The sequence below is a fragment of the Homo sapiens genome, chromosome 1, assembly GCF_000001405.40.
Source record: "Homo sapiens chromosome 1, GRCh38.p14 Primary Assembly".
In the NCBI taxonomy this organism is placed as follows: Eukaryota; Metazoa; Chordata; class Mammalia; order Primates; family Hominidae; genus Homo; species Homo sapiens.
The window spans coordinates 74,627,345-74,651,267 of NC_000001.11; the positions used below are offsets into that span (position 1 = coordinate 74,627,345).

General features: G+C 35.1%; 1 protein-coding gene across 2 annotated transcripts in view; it reads right to left on the bottom strand.

The window, feature by feature from the left end:
* ERICH3 (glutamate rich 3) overlaps positions 1 to 23,923 on the bottom strand; it is a 106,221-nt gene that overhangs the window by 59,222 nt on the left and 23,076 nt on the right. For both annotated transcript variants that reach the window (NM_001002912.5, XM_017000275.2), the window contains exons 2-7: positions 21,878 to 21,971; positions 19,323 to 19,448; positions 15,683 to 15,754; positions 13,987 to 14,115; positions 8,936 to 9,094; positions 4,369 to 4,584 (exon numbers count right to left, since the gene is read on the bottom strand). In NM_001002912.5, the coding sequence (NP_001002912.4) occupies positions 4,369 to 4,584; positions 8,936 to 9,094; positions 13,987 to 14,115; positions 15,683 to 15,754; positions 19,323 to 19,448; positions 21,878 to 21,971 (796 nt within the window). The remainder of the gene's footprint in view (positions 1 to 4,368; positions 4,585 to 8,935; positions 9,095 to 13,986; positions 14,116 to 15,682; positions 15,755 to 19,322; positions 19,449 to 21,877; positions 21,972 to 23,923) is intronic.

The window sequence follows — 23,923 nt, forward strand, 5'->3', positions numbered from 1 at the left end:
CATGAAAACAGAATGCCATGGAAGGCAAGAGAGGAGAGGTTTAAGGAAGAGGCAATTAATAGCATAAAATTCTACAAAGAAATGTCATGGTAAGTTAAAAAAAAACTAAGATGGTAGAAATAAGTCTAAATATATCACTAAACAAAGTAAATATACTTGGACTAAACTCATTTATTAATAGAACAGAGATTCTCAGATTGAATCAAACACAATCCACCCCTATGTTACATAAACATATTTAAAGCCTAAAGTTTAAAACTAAAGACACCAAAAGACTAAAAGTGAAAGGAATATATATACACATATGCATATACACACATACATATGTGTATATATACGGTTGACCCTTGAACAACATGGGTCCACACATATGCAGATTTTTTTCAATAAGTATGTTGGAAAATTCTTTGGAGATTTACAACAATTTGAAAAACTTGAAGACAAACTGTATAGCCTAGAAATATTTTGAAAAATAAGAAAAATGTATGTTATGAATGCATAAAATATATGTAGATGCTAGTCTGTTTTATCATTTACTACCATAAAATACACACAAATCTGTTATAAAAAGTTAAGATTTATGAAAACTTACACATACTCTTAACAGACCATGCATGGTGCCATTTACAATCAAGAGAAATGTAAACAAATATAAAGATGCAATATTAAATCATAACTGCATAAAATTAACTGTAGTACATACTGTACTGCTGTAATAATTTCATAGCCACCTTCTGTTGCTATTGTAGTGAGCTCAAGTGTTGTGAGTATCCACTTAAAATGCCATGTGACACTAGTCATGTCCACACGAGCAATTCATCTCTTTAGTAAATCATCTATCAGAGTAAAAAGTAATCTCTCAAAGTTCTTACATATTTTCCATCGTGTTTAGCGTAATACTGTAAACACTGAATAACATCATGGGACTCAACAAAGTTTCACTTGGAGAAACACTCCAGGAAGCAAAGTCATGACATTACAAGAAAAGGTTGAATTGAATTCTCTAGCTGAGGTTGCTCACGGGTGGACGATTCATTTCGTAAAGAGAAGACATAACTTATGGTATTGATAAATACAGTACAGTAGTATAAATGTATTTTCTCTTATTTACAGTTTTCCTAATAACATTTTCTTTTCTCTAACTTTGTAAGAATACAGTATATAATACAAATAGCATACAAAATATGTGTTAATCGAATATTTATGTTATTGGTAAGGCTTCCAGTCAACAGTAGGTTACAAGTAGTTAAGTTTGGGGGGAGTCAAAGTTTATATACAAATTTTCGACTGTGCAGAGAAATGACACCCCTTCCCCCCATGTTATTCAAGTGTCAACTCTCCATATACAGTACACACACACACACACACAGACACACTAAAGAAAATAAGAAGTATTATTAGACAAAATAGATTTTAAGACAAAAAGTAATATGACAAAAAGGATCTCCTCACCAGTAAGATTAAAATAATCTTAAGTCTGAGAGCATATAAGACTTTCTAAACATTTAAAAACAGAACTTGGCATAATTACAAAGACAAATTGACAAATCCATAATTATAGAGAATGGATTTTCATTATAACTCAAGAATTAAGAGACTAAACACATAAAAAGTCTACAAATGTAAAAATATGAGTAACATAATTAACATTTATCTATTGGACATTTATAGAACCTTAATTTCAACATTTAAAGGATATTATTCTTTCCCAAAACTGAACATATATTAGCTCACAAAGCAAGTCTCCACAAATACGACGGAGTTAAAATCATACAGATCAAGAATAAGATGCATTTTTAAAAGTAGCATTCAGTGAGCACAAAAGGAGTTCTTAGAATTGAAACATGGCAGGAGAAAAAACTCAGTAGAATGTGTGGAAGATAAAATTGAAAAAAAAAACCTCTCAGCAAGTAGAACAAAAAGACAAAGAGGTAGAAAGTAGGAGAGAAAAGCTAAGAATCTTAGAGCATCAGTCTAGTAGTTCTAACATTCCCAAAATAGAGATTCCAAAAAGAGAGAAAAAGGTTTTTTTTTTCTTGGAAAAAAAGAAGAGTAAGTCAGACTGAAGCCCTGTGACTCAGGAGACAGACATGATAAGGTCTGTCAAAGCCAGCATGCCTGATGACACCATGCTGTGCTTCTAACCTGAATGCAGAATCCCAGGGGAACCTGGCTCAGATGCTTATTTGTGCTTCACTTGTCACGACCCTGGGATGAAGAGGCTGCTGCTCCCTCCTCCATGCCCAGCTACAGAAGCCCATTCTCCTGGTCATTTTCCTGCTGGACATCCAGTGTCTGGCTCACACTAGGACCTCGCCAGATACCTTGACACACTCATGACCTGACCACTCTGACTTCCCCAGAAGGGGCTTTTAAAACTGTTTAAAAACCAAACCCAGGCTGTGACCCAAAGATTCTATTCAGCTTATTTTCTTCCGGAAATAGCGTCCTTTCATTACAATGCTAGGTTTGAGCTTATTTCTGAAGTTTTATGCATATAAGCGATAGAACTCTAAAGAAAAGCAGGGACATAGTTCACAGGGAAGTCAGCATGGTGCTTGCTCTGGAAAAATTAAAGAATGATGGGGCAGGAAAAAGGGGGCTCTTGCATAATATGATAGAGTTCATCGTGAAGGTGTAGTGAGTGCATGGTGCTTGCTTGGTTATTGTTGTTGAACTTGTACATATAGATAAGACTTTATATATTCTTATGGCTTGTGAGACATTTAAACTTGTGTTTTAAAAGAGCATGAACAGGTAGAATGTATCCCAGTAATACATTTTAACATCCGAAAATCAAATCCTGCCCCCCAAGTGTTTCAGAATGATGAGTAAGTCATTGTTTTTGCTAAGTATGAGCCACATCTTTTGAGAGCATGTTCATTGGCCAGGTAGAAACCAATGCCAGCATGCAGAGTGAAAAATTAAGTTAGTGGATATGGTAGATTCTATTATTGTTCCAAATATTCGCTGCCCTTTTCTGTGAGAGACTGATACTTCCTACTCCATTGAGGTCAGTCTTGGTCAAGGGCTTGCCAAATGGCATTCAAGTGTAAGTGACATGTGCCACTCCTGAGTGGAACCTTAAAAGCATTCTGTGGTTCTGTTGCCCATGAATGAGGCCAACATATTCCAGACTCCTTCATTCTGAGCTGTTCCTCCACTCTGGGTCCTAGAATTACAGCTGACCATAAAATTGTGAGCAAGAATATTGTTGTAAGTTGAGTTGCCTGGGGTTGTTAGACTAAGCTCCAGTAAACTGCTCTATAGAGAACTTACTAATGAAGAAAAGATAAAACAGAAGTCTAAGGTTGCAGCATGTGAGGAAATAATTTGCTCCTTTATCTAAGGCCTGGATATGTTGAGAGACAGAGATGAGTATTAGAGGAAGCCAGCAAATCCAAATTAGAGAGAATGACAGATAGTATGAGCTACCACCGACAGTGAAAGAGTATCTGATCAAAGACGCAGGGCAAGGGTGGGCCTTGGGGATGAGAGAGAAAACATCCTGTCAAAGACAGCAACCAAGGGAGAGAATTGGTAAAAGTAGAGTTGAAAAAAGGAAATTCAAGCAAGCAGGAAGAAGATGGTCCCCATCTTCTGAGAAGGTTAGAGGTAAGGACAGCTGCTGGGAGTGAGATGTGGACATGGGGTGAATAAGGTTCCTGAAAGTGAAGTTGGTTTTTAAGAATCTATGTGCATGCTGGCACTTCACTTCCTGATGGTCAGTCAGTGAAATGTTGACCCAGCTTATTTGCCAATCACAAAACTTTCATTTAATTGCTATTGGTTGTATATTTAACATAATAAAAATGAAGAGATATTTTGCCTTCTTACTAGCTTGTATGTGTATAAAGTCCAACAGGCCTTAAAATTGTTTCTTCTATTAGTATTTTGAGGAAATCAGTACAACAAACTGTAATCTCTTAAAAAATTACTGAAATAATTTATCTATGTATGATACAGTAATTTGCCATAAATTGTTCAAAATAAACTATATTGTGTTTTTTAGGTATATCAAGGTTTCTGAATTTTTACAACTTAGATGTAAAGATGTTTCTAACAACATGTGACTGAACAGGTGCATTTAAGGAAATAAATGATTTGGAAATAGGTATTGGTCAAATTAAATTTGACCACAAGAATTGTTAAATCTTTTATTATTAATTATGCTAAACTCATTATGCAACTGAATTACTCAAGCCTGTGGTTTCAGATACATTCAAGCTTACTTATAAAATTGTATTTCTTTACACACAACGTTTTGCATGCAATTTCCTCCAAATTCTTTTACTGCAAACCTAGAAATCTAATAGTGCAATGTAATCTGAGATAAATTAATAAAAGAAAAATTTGTTCCATAATCACCTTTGTCAAAAGAGGTTCTAAGCCATTTGGAGCAGTGGTTGGACGAAATCTTCTCCTTCTCCATGTTTCAGATCTATTTTCTCTTGTGATTTTCCCAGTTGGGGGAAGTGGAGGAGGAATAGGCATCATGTAACTGTTAATGTTTGGAAGTTGATATGAATTCATTCTCTGTGAATTGCCTATGGAGTTCCTGAACTTCATCACTGCCTTCTTGCCCTGTAATCATATTTCATCGCATAAGAACCAGTGAAACAGAATCAGTGACTCAATGTAACCCAAATTTAAAGACAAGCCTAAATGATTGACATTGCATGCAAACACAACTGATATCAATAGACAAACTCAAAACACTCCAGTCTGCTGAAAAATGACACTTTGTAGTATCTGCGGCAAATTAAAAATTCTAACCTTGTGTGGTATATTTTTTAACTAACATAAAGTGATGACACTTTTATAGTACTTTTGGGGTTTTTCTTCAACAATCCATTAAACCCAATACAACTAAACAATTTAAAATCAAGAAGTTTGAAGTGTGCTTTAAAGCAGAGCTTTAGTCCAGTTAGCAATAGGAAATTAGGACTTTTTTCATATTCTTATTTCAGGCATCTAGGTATTAGAATATGCAGGGTTTGCAAAGCTGTAAACAAACTGGCATGTACTGTTTAGCATAAATAACTCATGTACTATTTAGAGTAAATTATTACATTTACAGAGGAAAAATTAAAATATTTATCAAAATTTTAAGGTATATATCCTTTGACCTAGAAATTCTAGTGGTAGGAATAAATCCTACACAGATAACTATACAAGTTCACTAATATAAATGTGTATAAGGATACATATACACACATGCACACACACACACATATATATGAAGAAGTTAATTGCACAAAATGTAACATCATATAAGTCCATCAATAGGAAGATGTTTAACTAAAACTTGCTTTGTTCCTATGAGAGATCTCACCGGGCTTAAACAAAAATAACATGAATATATTTATCCTGAAATAAAAAGGTTCATATGGTATGACCATAAATTTCTTTTAAATAATTTACGTGTGAATTCTGATTAAAAATAAGAATGACTGAAAAAACTTGAATGTGTGGCTACCTTTAGGGATATACCTTCATATTGTTTTAGAGTTTAATCAGCATGTACTATTTTAATCATTAAAAAACACCAAAGGTATAGTCAATAATTACATTTGTCAGGTATAAGTGAGTCACTGAATTTTCACAAATTGGTAATTTTTGGGTATCTGAGGTAGTTTCCCAAATTTTAAGGAATATTTAAGTAGGTTTATCTATTTTGCACCAATTTATTTCTATTTCTACAATATAAATTTATATTGTACTTATGTTTATTTTTAAATTTCTAATTAATTTTTGATCAACTTAGTTTGTATTTTAATATGCTTATTGGTGAAAAATTGTTTTGTAGAAAGGAAAGTACTCTCCAAATATCTCTCATTGCTAAATGAGCAAAAGGAACTTATAAATGAAGGGCATGGATAGCCCATATTTTGATTTAAAAAGGCATATGAACCGAAAGAGATTTAAGTGGATATTCACCAAGGAGTTTATAATTGTTAGAATGGTTGATATTGCATTTTGTCAAGCTCTAATTTTTCTTTTCTTATATTTTCCATTTTTTCTGTAAAGGAGTACGTTTATATTGTAATAAAAAATAAAAATAAGTAAAAAATAATGACAAGAAAATCAATGAATCTAGAACTTTTTGTGTTTAAGGATTTAAAACAAAATTATTTCTGAGTAGGCATCAATCAATTACATGCCTTCTTTGGAAATGGTTTACCAGTTTTTCAAAAAAATTAACATGTTGTTCTTTACCTTGCTTCTTTTAGTTCGACAGCATTTTGGACATCTTTTCATGCCAGTGCAAGTAATAATACTTTTTAAATGTACTTTAATATAACATAACAAGTTAAAACAATACCCTATTACTTAGGTATCTTCCAATTGTTCACTATTGCAAATACAACAGTACAAAATATTCTTGAATCTGTTTCTTTACACATATTGTGTATTCCTAGGATAAATTCCTACATGTTAAAATGCTTGAGCATGTTCATTTAAAATGGTGATAGATATTTCCATATTGCCTTCACAAATACTTGTACTAATTTCTACTTCTACCAATAATATATGAGAAACTCTCATTCTAACATCATTCATTTTCAATCAAGTCATTATTTTTCCTCATTTGCATCTCATCCCGTCTGTTTTTGGCCAAATCACTTTTGCCTAAATTAAAGACTCTCACTCCTGCTACTTAGCAAAGTTCAACCTACTTCTATCTGTTGTACCTTCAAGTACTTTCAACATGTATATACTTTACTCTTTAAAAAAGCAATAAGAGTTTTTTGAGTGCTCACTACATACTCAGCAATGTACAGAATATTATTCTTCTTTAAGAGCTTCTTGTCTGATTTTATATTAAATCATTTTCATCATCAATGCCATTGAAAAAAATTACAGATAAGACATAATCACAGTATACTTTGTCTGTGAACATTACACTATAAGCTCCAATAAGTTACTTTTGTCTGTCTTGATGCCTAAAGCAGTACCAAGGCCATCATAAATGCTCAATAAATATTTACTAAATGAAAAGTGAGTTTAGCTAGTTGACATTATTGTGGAATTTATCTCAATCTTGTCAGCACATGACAGCTACCATTAGCTGCCTGTCTTTCAATAATACATACCCCAAAAACTTGAAACAGGAAAAGGCCCTGTAAAGATTCAATTAGTAAATCTATCCAGTGGCTCAGAACAGATTTGAAGAGTCACATTAAAGGAAAAAAAAATTGCTCCCCAGCCAGCAGAGCTTAAATAATACCTGATTGATGGTGTTCACATGTCTAATGAAACAAAGTATTGATCAAAGTAGCATTAATAATTATGGAACTTAAAAAATAATATAATCACCTTGGCAAGCATGGAAAGCACCCATCCAAGTACTATCTAGGGGAGAGGAAATCCTACTCATTGGACTTTGAGTATTTCTAGTCCTAATGGCAAAGTTACTGCTGGAGGATACAGAGGATTTTAGCCAAAGACCTTTGAGTTTTCTGGTACCTTTGGCTAGCCCATTCCCAAGATGAGATGGGTGTATCAGGCCATATAGGCCTTATACGATTAACATTCTATTACACTATCTCCCCTCATTCTGATTCCATGCTCACTAGGCAACTTTCTCATTGTGATTTGGCTTCTCATATATGTCTGCCTACTAGGGGATAATGCACTTCTTCTATAAGCCTTGACTATGACATCTCTTGGTGAATAAATAGCCCCTGAATATCATTGAGTTGCCCATTTTCGTTTATTATCTAGAGAAAAATGAGCTTGTTTTGAGTTCGTTTAGTTAGCCTGGACAGTCTCACAAGATGTGACTATTCCTGGACCCTGGCTAAAACAGGAAATCTCTGGGTCTTCAAAGTGGAGACCAGAGCCTAGAAAGTGTCAAACTAATTGACATAAGACTCAAGAAGTTCCTGCCTAACTGTAAGCAGTCTTCCCTGGATGAAGCACCACCACTTTTGGATTAATTTCTCTTGGTTTCTAGAAAACTATTATTAAATTAACTGAAATAAGATTTATGAAAAGTGCTTCAGAAACTGAAAAGCATATTAAGCAGATTAATATATTATTATTTTTAGAGTTGTATTTATACTTTTACTGTGAAACACAATCACTTGTCTGAATTAATTTCTTAGTGTCAAGGTTATCTGTCAATTAAAAATAAAAATATCTTAATTTCATATATCTTGCGTTTCTTAAATGAAACATAATCATTCCTTTGAACATAATGACAATTGTACTCATGTCGCAGGTTTTTTCTTAAGCTGGCAAAATTTTCTTCATTTTAGAAAAACTAACAATACTTTCCCTAATTAGTGAATGTACTAATTCCTCCTCCCTATTTAAGTAACTCATGTTTCATGGTTACCATACCTCCTTCCTGTGCTCTATTAAAATAAGGGAAAATTATCTGAGATATAACCTTGAGAGGGTAGCAGAATCAAGCTCCTATGTGTGATAAACTCAGCATTTTTTAAAGATGGACATTCTATTCTTTCTATATTCAACCTTTTAAAAGTCAAACTTGAAGCAATTTCATACATTGATGGGAAAGTAAGTCGGCATGCAAATGCAAACCTATTCTTGGAAAGTTTCATTTTCTAGGTTTCATGCGTTTAAAATTTGGAAGAAGTCAACACTAGGTCTTTTCTGATAGAAGTTGTATCTGGTTCAGAAAAGTTTTCCCCTTTGTTTTTCAATCAGCCTTGTAAACTAAGGAGAAATCACCATGCATTATTACCAATCTATTCTTTACTTTTTTGCTCAGTGACACAAATTACAGGCCTTCCCATTTGAGTAAGACATAATTAATCACAAGTATGTAGTAAGTGTTTCATACATATACAATATAATTTTCACTGTGTAGATTTTAATCGAATATAATACCTTGACCACTGTAATAACCTATAATAATCTACTCAAAAATTAAAATATATTTATTGATAAAAATAACATTTACCCCAATGGGAAACAGAGCTTCATTTTCCAGCAATGAGGTTTTTGATCTGGACCTTGAAGTTACCTTTGGAACAGTTTCTACTGCAGGATTACTGGGAAGAGGCTGTAATCGAATTGGAGGCTGCATATTTCCTGGAGCAGTATATGGTCGAGGGGCTGTCTAGACAATTAGGGGAAAAAATTCCATTTAAATTAGTATCTTGACATGTTTCCAGAACCAATTAATAACCCAATAAATTGCCTAGAGTAATTAATGGTGCCTTTTTACTGAACAGATTAAACTTTAATTATGTCCTTCCATTATACATACCCTTATGACCCAAAGTATTTGTTAAAACATATGGTGTTGAAGTCCTCTACATAACTAAATGCCACAATTATAGAGTATTCTAGACAAAGGAGATGTCCTCCATTACATTCCTGTATTTTCATTCATACTGCAAACTTGCTGACAATAACTAATTTATGCTCTTCATGCAATGGCTTTGCTCAATTTAATGTTACGTTGAATAATGTTCCTATTTTAGGGGTCTAAAAGGATATTATTGGAATGGACTCATTTCTGTCTAAATGTCTTCAATATAAACTCTACTCTGAATCTTTTAAGCCTTAAGACTGGTGCTGAAGTAAAAGCAGACAGTATAATTCAAACAAAAGAGGAAAGGAAATTCATTACAATTTATTCAATGGCATCCTTGAAATACTAGGAAAACAAAAATAAAAAAATTGTAACTGGCAACTTTGGAAAATGTATATAAAATTGGATATGTTTTCTATGCTAGATATTTTCCATTTGTCCCTCTAGATCTACCATTCACCTTTTCTGGCCTGACCTAGACTCTGGGGGTCACTCCTTTCGGGACTACACCCACTAACCTCAGGACTGCAGCTGGAGTCCACTAGTGACAGGCACTAGCAAGAGATGAAATTAGGGTCTTTCTTCTCCTTGACTCACCCTGCAGGGTCATAATGGGCCAGCTGGGTCCCTCTACCAAAGTCCACAGCTTCTACTGGGAAGCCCTCTCCCAGCTACAGGTACTAGCAGCTGGTTCTGGTGTCCAATTCCTCTGTTCCCCCATTAGGCCTGGGTGCTGTGGCTCCTGATATGCTGACCCTAGCATGCTTAGCATCCCTAGTTGGTTTTCCTTAGCCCTGCCTACTTCTTTGCAAATAGCTTTTTAAACACTTTCTAATTACACTGTTTGAGCCATCTGTCTACCTCCTGCTGAGCCACTGACTGATTCATTTTCTAATCAAGACTATACTGCAGCAAATGCCAAAAGTGCTTGTATAGTGCATTAGAAGTGCTTTTGGGGCATTGAAAGAATATTGTTAGTTTAGTATAAAGATTAGCAATGTGGCTGAGTGCAGCGGCTCACACCTATAATCCCAACACTTTGGGAGGCCATGGTGGGTAGAACACTTGAGCCCAGGAGTTGGAGATCGACCTGGGCAACATGGTGAAACCTTGTCTCTACAAAAAATGCAAAAATTAGCTGGGTATGATGATGTGTGCCAGCTACTCAGGAGTCTGAGGTGGGAGGTCACCTGAGCCCAGGCAGGTCGAGTCTGCAGTGAACTGGGACTGTGCCACTGCACTTCAGCCTGGGCCACAGAGTGGGATGCTGTCTCAGAAAAAAAAAAAAGATTAGCAATGTGTCAAAAGTAGAATACATCAGACTTTTGACCCAATTGTTCTAATGCAATAAAATAGTAGAAAGTCTATCAAGAATTGTACATATATATTTAGGAAGGAGGATGAGAAGGATGGTATATAAGTGACTAATGAAAAGGGTTTAATACATACACTTTAAAGAATGGTGAACAACAAATATTCAGCTCTGGAAAAGTGTGTGTAAATACTTTAAAAAATGATGATAAGGCAGCTCCTACTACCAAAAACCAGCCTTAGAAGTTAGGCTTGAGAAGCATGTCATATGTTGCTAAATCTCTGATTTTGTTAAGTCAACATTTATTGAATTCCCACCATAGAAACCGTGAGAACATAAAAAGTAATTTTTAACATCTAATGGCAACACAAAACAACTAGTGTCAAATGAACCACACAAATACTGCCAAACAGACAATAAAATACCTGAGACCAGAACTTAGAAGTAAAAGTTCTTAGAATCTTTAGGGTAAGCCAAAGAGGCTAATACAACTTAAAGTTCCACAGAAGCAGTTAGATTTTATCCCAATGGTAAACAAGAGAAGAAAGTGGATAAGCAGAGAAGAAGGATAAATTTGAATATCCGACTGGGAAGAAAGCTGGTTGTGAGCAAGACATGGGAAGAGTAGCAAAGATAATATTCCCCAATATCTGTTTTCTTTTCTTCACTGGGAACATGGTTATTATGAATAAAGATGACATTTCCCAGCATCCCTTGTAATTCTGTGTAGATGTATGTCTCAGTTTTGGCCAATAAGATGAGAGCAGAAGTGACACATGAGACTTCCAGGTCATGTGCTTAGAGAGAAGATATGTGCTCTCACTTTACCTCTTCCCTCTGGTGAAATATCCAAACGGCGATATACCATCTTGGCTTTTATGGATAAATGCAACACCCTAAGTTTGGCAGATCAGCAACACAAAGGGAGTCTGGGCTTTTGATGACTTCACAGAGTTAAGATAGCATGCCAGCTGAGACTCATGGATATGCTGAGATGGGGAGGAGACCCTTTTGTTTATGCCAATGTTATTATATTTACAGTTTTCATACACAAACCTATGTCACAACCAATATGAGAAGCCAAGTGGATTGACTAAAGCAGGATTTGGTTTAAAGAAACAAAAAATAAGCCTATATGGTCCAAAAGGTAAAAGGTCTTATAACCCACAAAGAGAAATTAGAACTGAGGTTTCTGAAAAAAGGAATCAGATCACCCAAAAGAATTCTTTTGAACTTTGTAAAACAAACATGCCTCAAGGATCTCTCCTGTCAAATAATCCAACTGAACACAAAAACTTGAAAAATCTGTTGTCGAAATTTAAGAGAACAGTTTACTGCAAACTAGAACATGATCTATTGGCTGTTGTGCTCTAAATTTTACTTCCCTACATTTGCATATAGATATCATTCAGTTAGATGAATGTGGTAGTCAAATGTTTAACTGATTACATTTATCTCTAAAAGCAAATCTGCACCATTAACTAACAGCTGTGAGCTACAAATTGTTGTAGTTCACATCAGAAGCCACCTTAAATTCACTATATTTTAAATTGTGTGTAATATATTTTCTTGGAATAAATATGGCATTGTAGCTTAACATTCTGAAAACCATACCAGAATATGAATTGAAATTAACTACCTGGTGATTACTTAGCTTAGCTGAGCATTTCTAATTCTTAGTAGAAGATCAGTGTGGGTGAATGTTCCAAGCATATGCAGAATTAGCTGAAATGATTTTCCATCGTTTTAATGGGAGTGGTACAGCTAAAAATCTGTATACTATTTTGAAAGTTTAGGTTACCAAGGGCACTAACATTGTATTGGATGCTTTCCTTATTCACTTAAAAAAGTTAAAAAAGAAAAAAATCAATGGCAAGATCTCAAAAGGATTATTATCTTCATCTCAGGGACACTTGGAGATCATGAGTCAAATTTAAAGAATATGTATCCAGATGGAAAAAAAAGGGAGGGGGATTTGGATTTCTGTAAAATGGGACCTATTTAATTCCAAGATCACAATAGGTATCCCTTACGGTGCAAAAGCACCATCAGGGCGGGCCACATGAAGAATCCTGGCTTACCAGAGAGAAAGGTTTTTGAAGCTGGTTTCAGTGTTTCCTGTAATTTTAAAATTACTTTTTCACTCCTACCACATTAAGATCTGCTGGATGTATCATAAACTATTTATTGAGGGTGTTCAGCTGGAAAATTGAAAAGAAAGCCTTTCAAGGATTTTTCCTCTCTGAAACAGGTGGGAAGACTGAAAACAGCACTTGATTGTTTCTTTTGTTTCACTCAGGTTAAGCTTTTGAGAGTCTAGTGAATTTGCCATCCAATAAAAGAATTTGTATACATATATATTCAAATCAAACCTGGAAATAGGGTGACAACAAAGGAAAGATGGTTGCTTTTCATCATTTGAGCTGTTCATCAAGAAATGTCAAAACATATTTACCCTTTGAAAAATGTCAAAGCTTAACACTATATGTGATGAACCTACTTCAACAATCTGTGAAAGCATTGCAATTTCTCCATAAATATTTTGCAAATCAGAAAAAGTACATGTTAACAAGGAAATATATTAGGCTACATAAAGCAAGAATAAAGACATAATCAAGCAATTTATTTACAACTTAAACCATCAACCTCCAGCAAATGTTTTATAAATCTTTTCCTGTATCTATATTATTTCAAGGTACTTTACCTTCCCTCAAGCAAACACCACTTTTAGATTAGAAATGAATCAACCTGGAATAAAATATCAGTGTTTAGTTTCTTCAGATAGAATTTCTGTACATTTAATTATTTTTATTTTAGAGTATGTGCACAGACTTTTAATAAAAGAAGCTCAAATGTTAGTATTTAGCCCAATATGCTACATGGTACCATTGAATATGTAGAGATAAGGTGGAAGTAGAAGGAACAGCAAGAAAAAATCCAGAGGTCAGAAAATATAGAATATGTATAGTGGTCCCATTTTGCTACATTGAAGGGTGCTAAAGAGTAATCATGCAGAAAAAATTTGGAATAGCTAATTTGAGGTCATATGGTTTAGGGTCTTAAATGTCACCTGAGAGTCTGAGCTTTTCTGTAGGGAATACAGGCCAGGGAAAGTATTTGGGTGTATAAATAACATAAGTAATCTGGACTTCCAGAAAACTAATCTAGCATTAACAAGCAAAATTGATTTGGCAGTAGTGATATTGACTAGAAGTGAGATATTCAGAAGAGACAGAGTTGAACAGATATAAGACTATATTTTCATTCAGTAGGACTGGCAGCATTACGGAGTCATGCTCCCAGAGAGTATCCCTTCTGAGAATAAGAAATAATAAATTAATTAGCTGGGATACTGCATGACGAAGTGTTTAATATTACTCACCAGTGCTAACGGACTGGAATGTCCTTCATCAACCAGAACACTATGGCCACGATTACTCTTTGGGCCAACTGGTGGGTGGGGAGACAGGATTGGCATGTTATTTTCAACAGACCTTCTTGTGTGCTCTCCCTAGAATAAGAAAGCAATTTAGCAAATAGATGCATAGTTAGTAATCTAGGTTAGATTATGCATGACATGTGCGAAATACTATATGACTAAAGAAATTCTTTCTCATTTCTTCCAAGAGTTACTTTTGTTAAGGAGTTAGGTGTGGTGGTAAGGCAAGAAATTGAGTCGGCTTTAGTTGTGCTCAAAGAAATAACTGCAAAAGCAGTGTATCCTCCATTTTAGCAATAATATTTGTTAATTTGCTTCAAGCAGATCACTACAAAAGGCATAATGAGCTTTACTACTGCGATCAGTAGACTACCAGAAATAGTACTTTTCTATCTTAGAAAATAAATAATTCCATTAGGCAAAAAGTGTTCCATGTTTTAAAAAAATGAGAGCTAAAATATATCTTGTGCCAAATTCAGTAATAAAGTGAAAATTGTTCAAATAAAAATCATATGAAGAGGCACAAGGGTAGCAAATCTCTGACAATGCTACAATATGCCCATGTACTTCCTTTAGTGGGTCTGGCTACCTGGGCAAGGGTGAATAACACACAGCAACTTTTCCTGCTTCATGCAGTGTGAGTGACTCTTTTTTTCCAGTAACCACATTTTCTCCATCAACATTTCAGCAGATAAATTACAGAATCTATGACTCAGTCCTTGATGTAGGGCAATATTGGCAAAGTTGGATTAACCACAAATCTCTACACACCAACTCTTTGATCTTGGACCCATCTTCTGTCATTTGAAAACATTTTTGTAACAAAATTATCTTCTCACCCTGATAAAATAGACCTGAGTCCATCAGGCAAGGGTGAAAAATTACTGTCTTTTATGGCAAATTATTCTACAGAAGCTTTACAAATATTCATCAGTTTGTGAAACGTATCTTAGGCCACACATTTGTAATACTACAGTACACAGAAAATTAAGAACAACATGTGATTACAAATGACTTAAGAAACTGAGTAAAACTGCCAACCTAAATGGAAATCTTGAATTTAACTGAATATCTCATCTCTTGATTCAAGTTTATATTTCCTGAGTTCACTGCAAAGAAGATATATTTAAAAAATAGAAAACAAACAAAGAATTTTAAAATGCATTTTACAAAATCTACACTTTATCATGCTTTCTTTTGCTAAAGAGGATCCTTTCCACCGTATATTTCCAAGGGTCACATTCAAATGAAAATGTGTCATTGTATCATTCCTAAAAAGCCCTGTTTTCCATCAGGTTGGAAACACTACCATCCATTTTTACCTTCTTAAGACACAAACAAAAATCCCTTGGCCTCTATCACAAGAATATATAAAAGCAAAATTTCAAGAACATTTTCAAGTTTGTCTTTGAAAGGTTTGTGCCTCATTAAAATTTATTTTGTACAAACAGCTCCTATATTTGTCACAATCTTCTGTAATGATGATGGCTAAGATTTAGGCTTGGTGAACCATCATTGACTTCAACTATGTTTTAACCAAAAGTAAAGTGTCCCAGGGAACTGGAATCATAGTTTCACTGTTTTTTTTAAAATCATAAAATAATACTATGAAGTAAAAGAGAGTTATATAACTCCTTACCTTAAACCTCTGGATTCGCTCCTTCCTAGCTAAGGTCTCCAATTTCTTTTTTATTTCAAGCTGATGGTAACGCTAAGCATACAGGAAAGAATAAAGGAGAGAATCATATCAGTTATAGCAAAGACCAGTTTAGAGGAAAATAATTCCAACAGATAACTATATTCTCAATTAGTCCTCTTGTCATTGAGATGGAGAAGAATCATCTGCATCAGTGCACAAGTGGGAATGTAAATTGGTGCAACTATTTGGAAATTCAATTTTGAACATATATTAAGCAGTTAAAAGTGTTCATAACCTTTAACCCTTAAATTTCACTTCTAAACCTGTGGGAAATCTAAGTAATTTTAAAAAATGTCTTATGCACAAAGATGCTATCTGAAAGATTTTTTTTCCTTTTTCTTCAAGGCAAAAAAAAATGCAGAAACAATATGAACTATAAAGAGAATGGCTATATTTCTGGCACATCCATATGATGGAATAAAATATAATTGATCATTTAAATAAGGTTCATACAGATTTTGTTTAAAAAATGGACAATGCACATAATGCAGGATAAAAGCAGGATACAGAATTTCACAGAAATACAATTTAATTTATCAAGCTCATATTGTGTATCTGTCCCTGTGCTAGGAAGGTGCTTCACATACATTATTTCTTCTTGAACAACTCTAATTGCCAAGCCACCCTATTTTACAAACAAAGGCACTGAAGCAGAGGATAATGAACTTGCGCCAGGTCATATACCCAGCCAGGGGAGGAGCTGTAATTTCAACCTTGGCCTATCTGACACTAGCTTCCTGTTTTTCGCTTGTTTTTTCACAAAACCTTGTTGTCCCTGTCACAACATAGTATGAGTTTACTAAGGTAAAAATATGAATAGAAAAGAGACTAGAAAGAAATGCATGTTAACAGCCGTTGTCTCTGAAAGGAGGAATTGTATGTAATTATTTTCCTTTTTTATGCTTTTCCCCCCAAGTTTTTGTAATATATTATTCTATAATTTAAAAATAAGCCCCATGTAAAAATAATCTGCTTAAAAGGCAAATTGAAATTAATTAGACATATTTGAGAGTGTTTTATTCATTGGCCCTTTGAAAAAATGTTTCCCCTCTGTTCTTGGTTCCCTCCTGCTGCCTTAGGAACCCTGCAGACTCAATAATTCCCTATCATCAATCCTCTTCTTAACACTTCCCTTTCCTCTCTCTCTTCCTCTGATCTCCTACCCACTTATCATCAAACTGTTCAATTCACTATCAACCTTTTTCCACCTTCCATTTATTCCCAACTCACTGTAGTCATCCACATCTACTGACTTGCCACTTCCCTACTGCTGAAACTACTTTTGCCAAGTCCACCAATGTTTTTGTCTTCTGGGTCAAACCTAATTTCCTTTTGTTCCCCCAGTGCTCATCTTATTTGACCATTCTGCAGCTTGTGAGAACCTTCCAGCTTCCAGGACACCATGCTAACAGGCATGTTTTTGACCTCTTGAAGGTTCCTTTTCAGCCCATGCTGTTGTTCTTGATCTCCTACAGTGCACATACCTCCAACCAGGTGAGAAAATCTTTCTTCTGAGCTCTTTCTTCTCCCTCACTCCTTCACATTCAGTCAGCTTAAATCTTTCTCCCACTTCAGCTTCTCTGTAGACAGCTGCGTCTCCCAGCATTACCACTACTGCTATTAGCCTACACCCTTTGGCAATAGCTTCCTAATTGACCTCCCACCTCCAATCTTTTCCAGCTCATTAATCCATCTTCCACATTTTTAGCAACATCATCTTTCTAAAACAGCTCTGCTCATTTCTTTTACTCCCCTGCTGAAAAACATTTCATCGCCTCATCACCTACACCCCAAACTTAGTTGAGAATTTAAGGCTCTCCAGAGACTGGGTACCAACTTGTTGGAGAGTGTCACTTCCTGCCACTCTTGCCAACTAACCCACTGTGCAGTCTGGCCTCAGTGAGGGTTCCTTTCCATCTACTATGTCCTTTCACACCTCTGCAACTTCTGAGGTCTGGAACACCTTTCCCACATTTTCACAGGATCCCTCACTCGTCTTGAAACAGCAAGACCTCCGTTCAGTTTCCTCTGACTCCCACAGAGAAAAGTCATCCTCCTCTTCTTTTCTGAACTCACTCTATTCGTTCCTCTCTTCTAGCACTTAGTCACATTCTACAGTATTTTTTTTTAATCCTACCTTGCAGCTTCAACACACAGCCTCATACTGGCACATGGTAAACCTGCAATTATGGCTTGTTGCATGAGTGAATGCATGAATGTGAATACAGCAGTATTAGCAAGGAGCATCAGCATAAACTAAATGTGAGATAAATGTGACAATTTAAAGATAAATATTGTTTTTTTCTATTATGTTTATATATTATTTATTCTATTATGTAACAATTATGTTATTTAATATATTACATATTAACATTTATCTAAAATATTTATTCAAAACTAGGAATCCACAAAGATTTAAATAATAGCATATTCAACAGTTATGATGTGTCACAGGGTGTTAAGTGAGATTTTGGAAAACTAGGCTTCAAGGATTAAGGCTAACAGAGAACTCAGTGCCTATTGAGTAAATTTGAAACAAGGTATTAATTTTATGTTTTATTAATTTTATTTATTTTTTCACAGAAAAATTACAGCTAATACTTTTATAAGCAAGAATTTAGGGCCAAAAACAACAATTCTATGTAATTCATGGACATGATATGAAGCAAAAAGTGAATTCCTAAATTAACAGATCATACACATCTTAAGTGAACACTTCATCTACCTAATGTAGCATAATAATAAATATTTTCAGTGGCACTAGACTTCATATTGGTTTACTGATGATTCTACAGTTGTTCATAAATGTTTACTGCACTCACAGGTCAATGGTTTTATGAGCCCAGTTTTCTGATTTACTGCTTGTATGGTCAAGCCAAGAAGTGACATGCTTTTTCAGAGACTAAAATGGTGTTGATGCTTGAAACTACAAGTTCCATGGAGCAAGGCTGAAATAATTTATCAAATTAGCTAGATATCCCATTAAGATACCCTGTCAGATTAAAAAAATATGTTGTTGATGCTTGGTTTGTGCATCTATGTTGACCAGAGTGGCCTACGGTAGGAGGGACAGCAGATGTTAAAATGCCTATTCCTTGAAATGTAACATACGGCTGAGCTTCAGAGCCTTAAAAGAATAACAGATCTGAAATAATTCATGGCAATGGAATTACTGATATTTAAACAGATGTCACCTTTTTTAGCAAATGGAAATTGAGGTACAGATGGTGAGGGCTGGTATGTTTTAGAGTAGCCATTGTAAATGAAAAATGTACATTTGGAAAATTAAATATCACAAAATATATAATGATGTCCATATTTTTCTCCAACTGAAATGAAGAAAAGCTTACGCTAGACTTCTGGCTCCTGGCTACCCAGAGAGATATTGAGTATTTCTTTCATTTTCTTTTTTAATGAAATGCAGAAAGAATCTCTCTTTTTCTAGGTACAAAAGCATTATTAATTATCATATTAGACAAAATCAATTACAAAGAAAATAGTAAAGATTTATACCTCCATCTTCAGTGATGTGGAAGTAGAAAAAAATAAAATAAAATAAAAAATAAGTATATATTTTTACCTCCATATCAAGAACTTTATGAAAAATTGCCTGGGCTAAGCATTCCCGGATATATTTTTGATGATCCCGCTTCATCATATTTAGTTTATATTCTTTTTCAGAAAGTATTCTTCCACTTCTTGTGATCTGTCATGAATAAATAAAATATACATAGAAATATAAAATAGAAAATGTGGTGTTAGTTTCCAAAAAAGGGAGGCTGGAGGGTGGAGAAGACAGACAGACACACACACACACACACACACACACAGAGAGAGAAAGAGAGAGAGAGAGGCATTGGGGAGGCAGGGAGGGAGAGAGAGAAAAAAAAAAAAAACGAGAGGGGAGAAAGAGGGAGAGAAAGCATCAGTAGCTTTTAAGCCTAAAGGAATATATCACTATGGTTGATCAACTTTCACTTTTAATGAATATTTCATGAGGCAAAAAGGAGAAAGGCAGTCTCATATACCCTTCATTGTGAAAACACACACAGGTGGCACACTTGACGTTTAAAACAAGATTTTCATCACAGTAACAATTTTCCCTTGATGGAACCCAGGTGTTCTTTTCATTTCTTTTTTGAACACTTTCCTGAAGGAAGGGGGCGGGGTACTACTTTGAAAAAATGACCAGGAGCAGTGATCACAGGACTGATGATCTTGTAGGAAGTACTTTGAAGGGCAAACATGCGAGCTACAAAGGATCTCATCAGTTTGCTTTAAAAATACTTGGTTTCATTACTTTGTTTTCCTACTGCTTTTTTTTTCTTCCACTCTCCAGCCCAAAATGTAATTTAATTTGTTGTTTTGATTCAGAATTTTACAGATTATGCATTAGCATACATAGAAGATAGTCAATATTGGTCTCAACTGGCATCATTGCAAGTCCTAGGAACGGCCATTTTTGTTGTGGATTTACTTATTTTTCTTTTCTTTAATTCTTCCTGTGGGCATATTTGTTGATTTGTTGTATTGTTTTCTATCCCCTGTAAACGAAGAGTGTTACCCATACGGATTGTTCACCTTCTTCTTTTCCACTTATTTAAGCTTTGCTCCCCTCTTTCATGCAAGCCACATATTTTTCTTAATTCTGCTAACTGTAGTTTTTAACACTACTGTTGCAACACACTGGAGTATTAAGATCAACCAGAGTTGTGCTACAAGTGATGGCTTATTGATAATCTTTTTTTGTAAATACATTTTCCAATGGAAGAAAGAGGTATACCTATAGAAAGTGTGCTTGGAATTACAAATAACCCACTTACAGTCTTTGTGTGACTATGTCTGATCTCCCCAACTAGAGTGGAAGCTCCTATAGGGCAAAGGTGCTTAAACTTGACCATGCATCAGAACCACCTGCAGGGCTTGTTGAAAAACTGATAGGTCCCTTAGCAGAGCTTCTGATTCAGTTAGGTCTCACATTCGCATTTTCTGTAGGGTTTCTGGGTGACCCTGAACACTGCTAGCTGAGAGGCTATATTTGAACCTCTAGAGAAAGGCCTGCATCTTTCTTATTTGAATTGCCATGCATACAACCAGTGTTCAGTAAGTGCTTGTTAATGATGCTGATAAGTAAATACAAAGTCCTTCCCATTTGTAGGCAAAGTTCACAGACTGTTATCCAAAGAAGTGATGTTAATAGTAACAATAATTACAACACCCGTTTATTGCACATCTCTAACTGCCACGACAATTCTGAGAGGTGCATGCCATCATTCTCATTTTACAATTGAGGAAGTTGGGGCTGAAAAAGTTAAGAAAGTGATTTATTCAAGATTCTATGGCTTATAAATGGCAAGCTCGGTTTCAGCCAGGTCTGTCTGATAACGAATCCTCAGGAGGAGAAAAGCAAGCTCTCTGAGATCTGTCAGCTAGAGTGCCAAGCACAGAAACAACAATTAGAAATGCAATACGTGCTCTTTCAACACCATGGCAACAATAGTTAAGGAAACCCATTGTGTTTTAAGAAGGTAAACAGCTAACACTTTCTATAACCACATCTCTTTCTTTCCATGGAATACTATAACATTTTGAAAAGGTTTCACATTGTATACATTTAGAAGAATAGAAATTTTGTGGAAAGAACAGTTGTGAAGCTAATGAAATACACTAATATTATCAATAAACCATCACAGGAAGTAATTGTTTTTAAATTTGGGGGAAATGTTGAAATGTACATGTCTTCCACACCATATTCTGTGAATATCAAAAGCAATATTTTTTCCGAAGATGACAGTAAAATCTTCTCTATCTTCAATTCCTAACAGTTTCTACCTCATACAATGTGTTCAATAAATATGTGTTGAATGAATGAATAAACAAACCATTGAAATATGCTGTTGGAAAGTCTCAGGACCTTTTCCTCAATAATTTATAAGTTTTCTTAGCAGTCATAGTGACCTGCCTTCCTATCTTTTCAAACAACCTCAAATACATAAATCAAAACTTTGGAAAGAAAGTAATTTTTCTAAAATGAGGGCAAGTGGAAGATGTCACTCAAAGAGAAAGCCTGAAAAGGTAGGGAATTATTGGACTTAATGAAACAAGAAGGTCAGTGGAAAGTAAACCAAAACTTACCAGTCCTGATCTTAAGAGATGACGCCTTATCCTTGTATTGTTAAAATACCCAGCCAGGTGTTTATCCATAAGGCTATTATATGCAGCAAGTAACCTAAAATACAAAAATAAAACCAATAAGCTTTTACAAGGGGTTGTTTGATAACCAAGGCAATTCTTTACTGTTTCCCCAAATAGTGCATAATCATTCACTCATGCAGCCTGCCAGTCATTCATATATGTGTTTAATAAACATGTATTGAGTCCCTATTCTTTTCTAAGCCTTATGATAAGATCTAGAAAATCGTCCTGATTTTAATTATTCCACAGACAAGTATGGAAATCACACATCAACAAGTAAAGTGGATGGGGAAAGTACAACAATAGAAATATGCAAAAAGTCATGGCAGCACAGAGAAGGAGGCCACCAGCTCCATTTGTCAAAAAGGGCTTCACATTGGAGGCCTGATGGGAAAGCAAGGGCTCCTTCAGCAGATTCTTCCAGCGTCTCATGTCATACCCTAAACTCTGGTAACTCAAACTTACCTGCTGTCTCTCATCTTCAGAATACAACGTAGTCTCCCAACTGTGAAGGCCCTTCCTTCACCTGCCAGCCAGCAGATAATATCTGTGGTGTATAAGCCTCTCTTCTCTTAGGAAACATTCTCTGATATGTCCTGGCGTGCTGTGTTGCCTTCCACTCCCGCTCCCCACCTCCTACCCCATAAGACCCTGAGTTACTATCTCATCACATAATATGTAATTGTTTATTTCTTGGTGTCCTCTGCTAGATTTGAAGGCCAGGCCAGGATAGATCATTATTCTTGGTATCCCTACTGATGATATTTGTCATGTATCGAAATAATAATGTGCTCAGGAAATAAAGATATGATTTTGTTTGGGACTTATTTTTATTGTTATAAGTTCCTAACTAAATTTAAGCTCAGTATTTTGAAGTGTTAACCTCCTTATATATATCTAGACATTTGCATTAATTTCACATCCAGCACCAAAACAATAATTCATAGATCACTTTTGATTTTTAGTGTCTTTTATTTTAAGAGTTAAAAGAGGATAAATTGGTTTGTTGATTATATGCTATACCTTAGTAAATTGTCAATCTAAGTCTGTATGTCAAAGTTGAGCACTATTTTCTGTTTCAATCTATCCTTCATTAATTATTCAGTAACTTACAAAAACATGCACGCACATATGTATGTATACATGGTGCATGCACATATACATTCATACATAGACATATACATAGATGTTAGTATATACAGTAGTCCTCCCTTATCCACATTCCAAGACCCCCAGTGGATGCCTGAAACCGTGGATAGTACCAAATCCTATGTATACTAGGTTTTTTCAATCTGATATCCAATACGGCTGGTAAGTGACTGAAGGGTGGGTGGCATATACTGCATGGATACCCAGGAAAAAGGGATGATTCACATCCTGTGCAGGACAGAGCAGGACAGCATAGGATCTGACAACACTACTCAGAACAGCATGCAATTTAAAACTTATACGTTGTTTATTTCTGGAATTTTTCCATTTAATATTTTTGGACTGTGGCTGACCACAGGTAATTGAAACCACCGGAAGTGAAATCACGGATAAGAGGGGACTACTGTGTGTGTGTGTGTGTGTGTGTGTGTGTGTGTGTATACTTATATACACATAGAAAGAGAGAGAGAGAGAGAGAAAGACAAAGAGGAAGACAGACAGAGATAGACAGAGGCAGAGTCAGGGAGAGGCAGAGAAAGAAAGAGAACAAGAAAGCTTAAAGATAGTCCAAACGCAAAGCTGTCTTTAAAAAAATGCATACTCTATTACTGGCAACAAAGTTTTATAATCTATACATTTTATGAACCACTAATCCTTAATTTATTCAAAGATCAGAGCAGGGACTCATATTATAGAGTCAAGTAAATATCATTAGCAACAATTTTATTTAACAGTTTGTACTCCTTAATTACATGGAGATGATATAAGTGACTCCTTCATGCCTCTTTTCTCCTTAACAGCCCATCGCAGGAAAGTTCCATGCTGCCAAACAGTAAG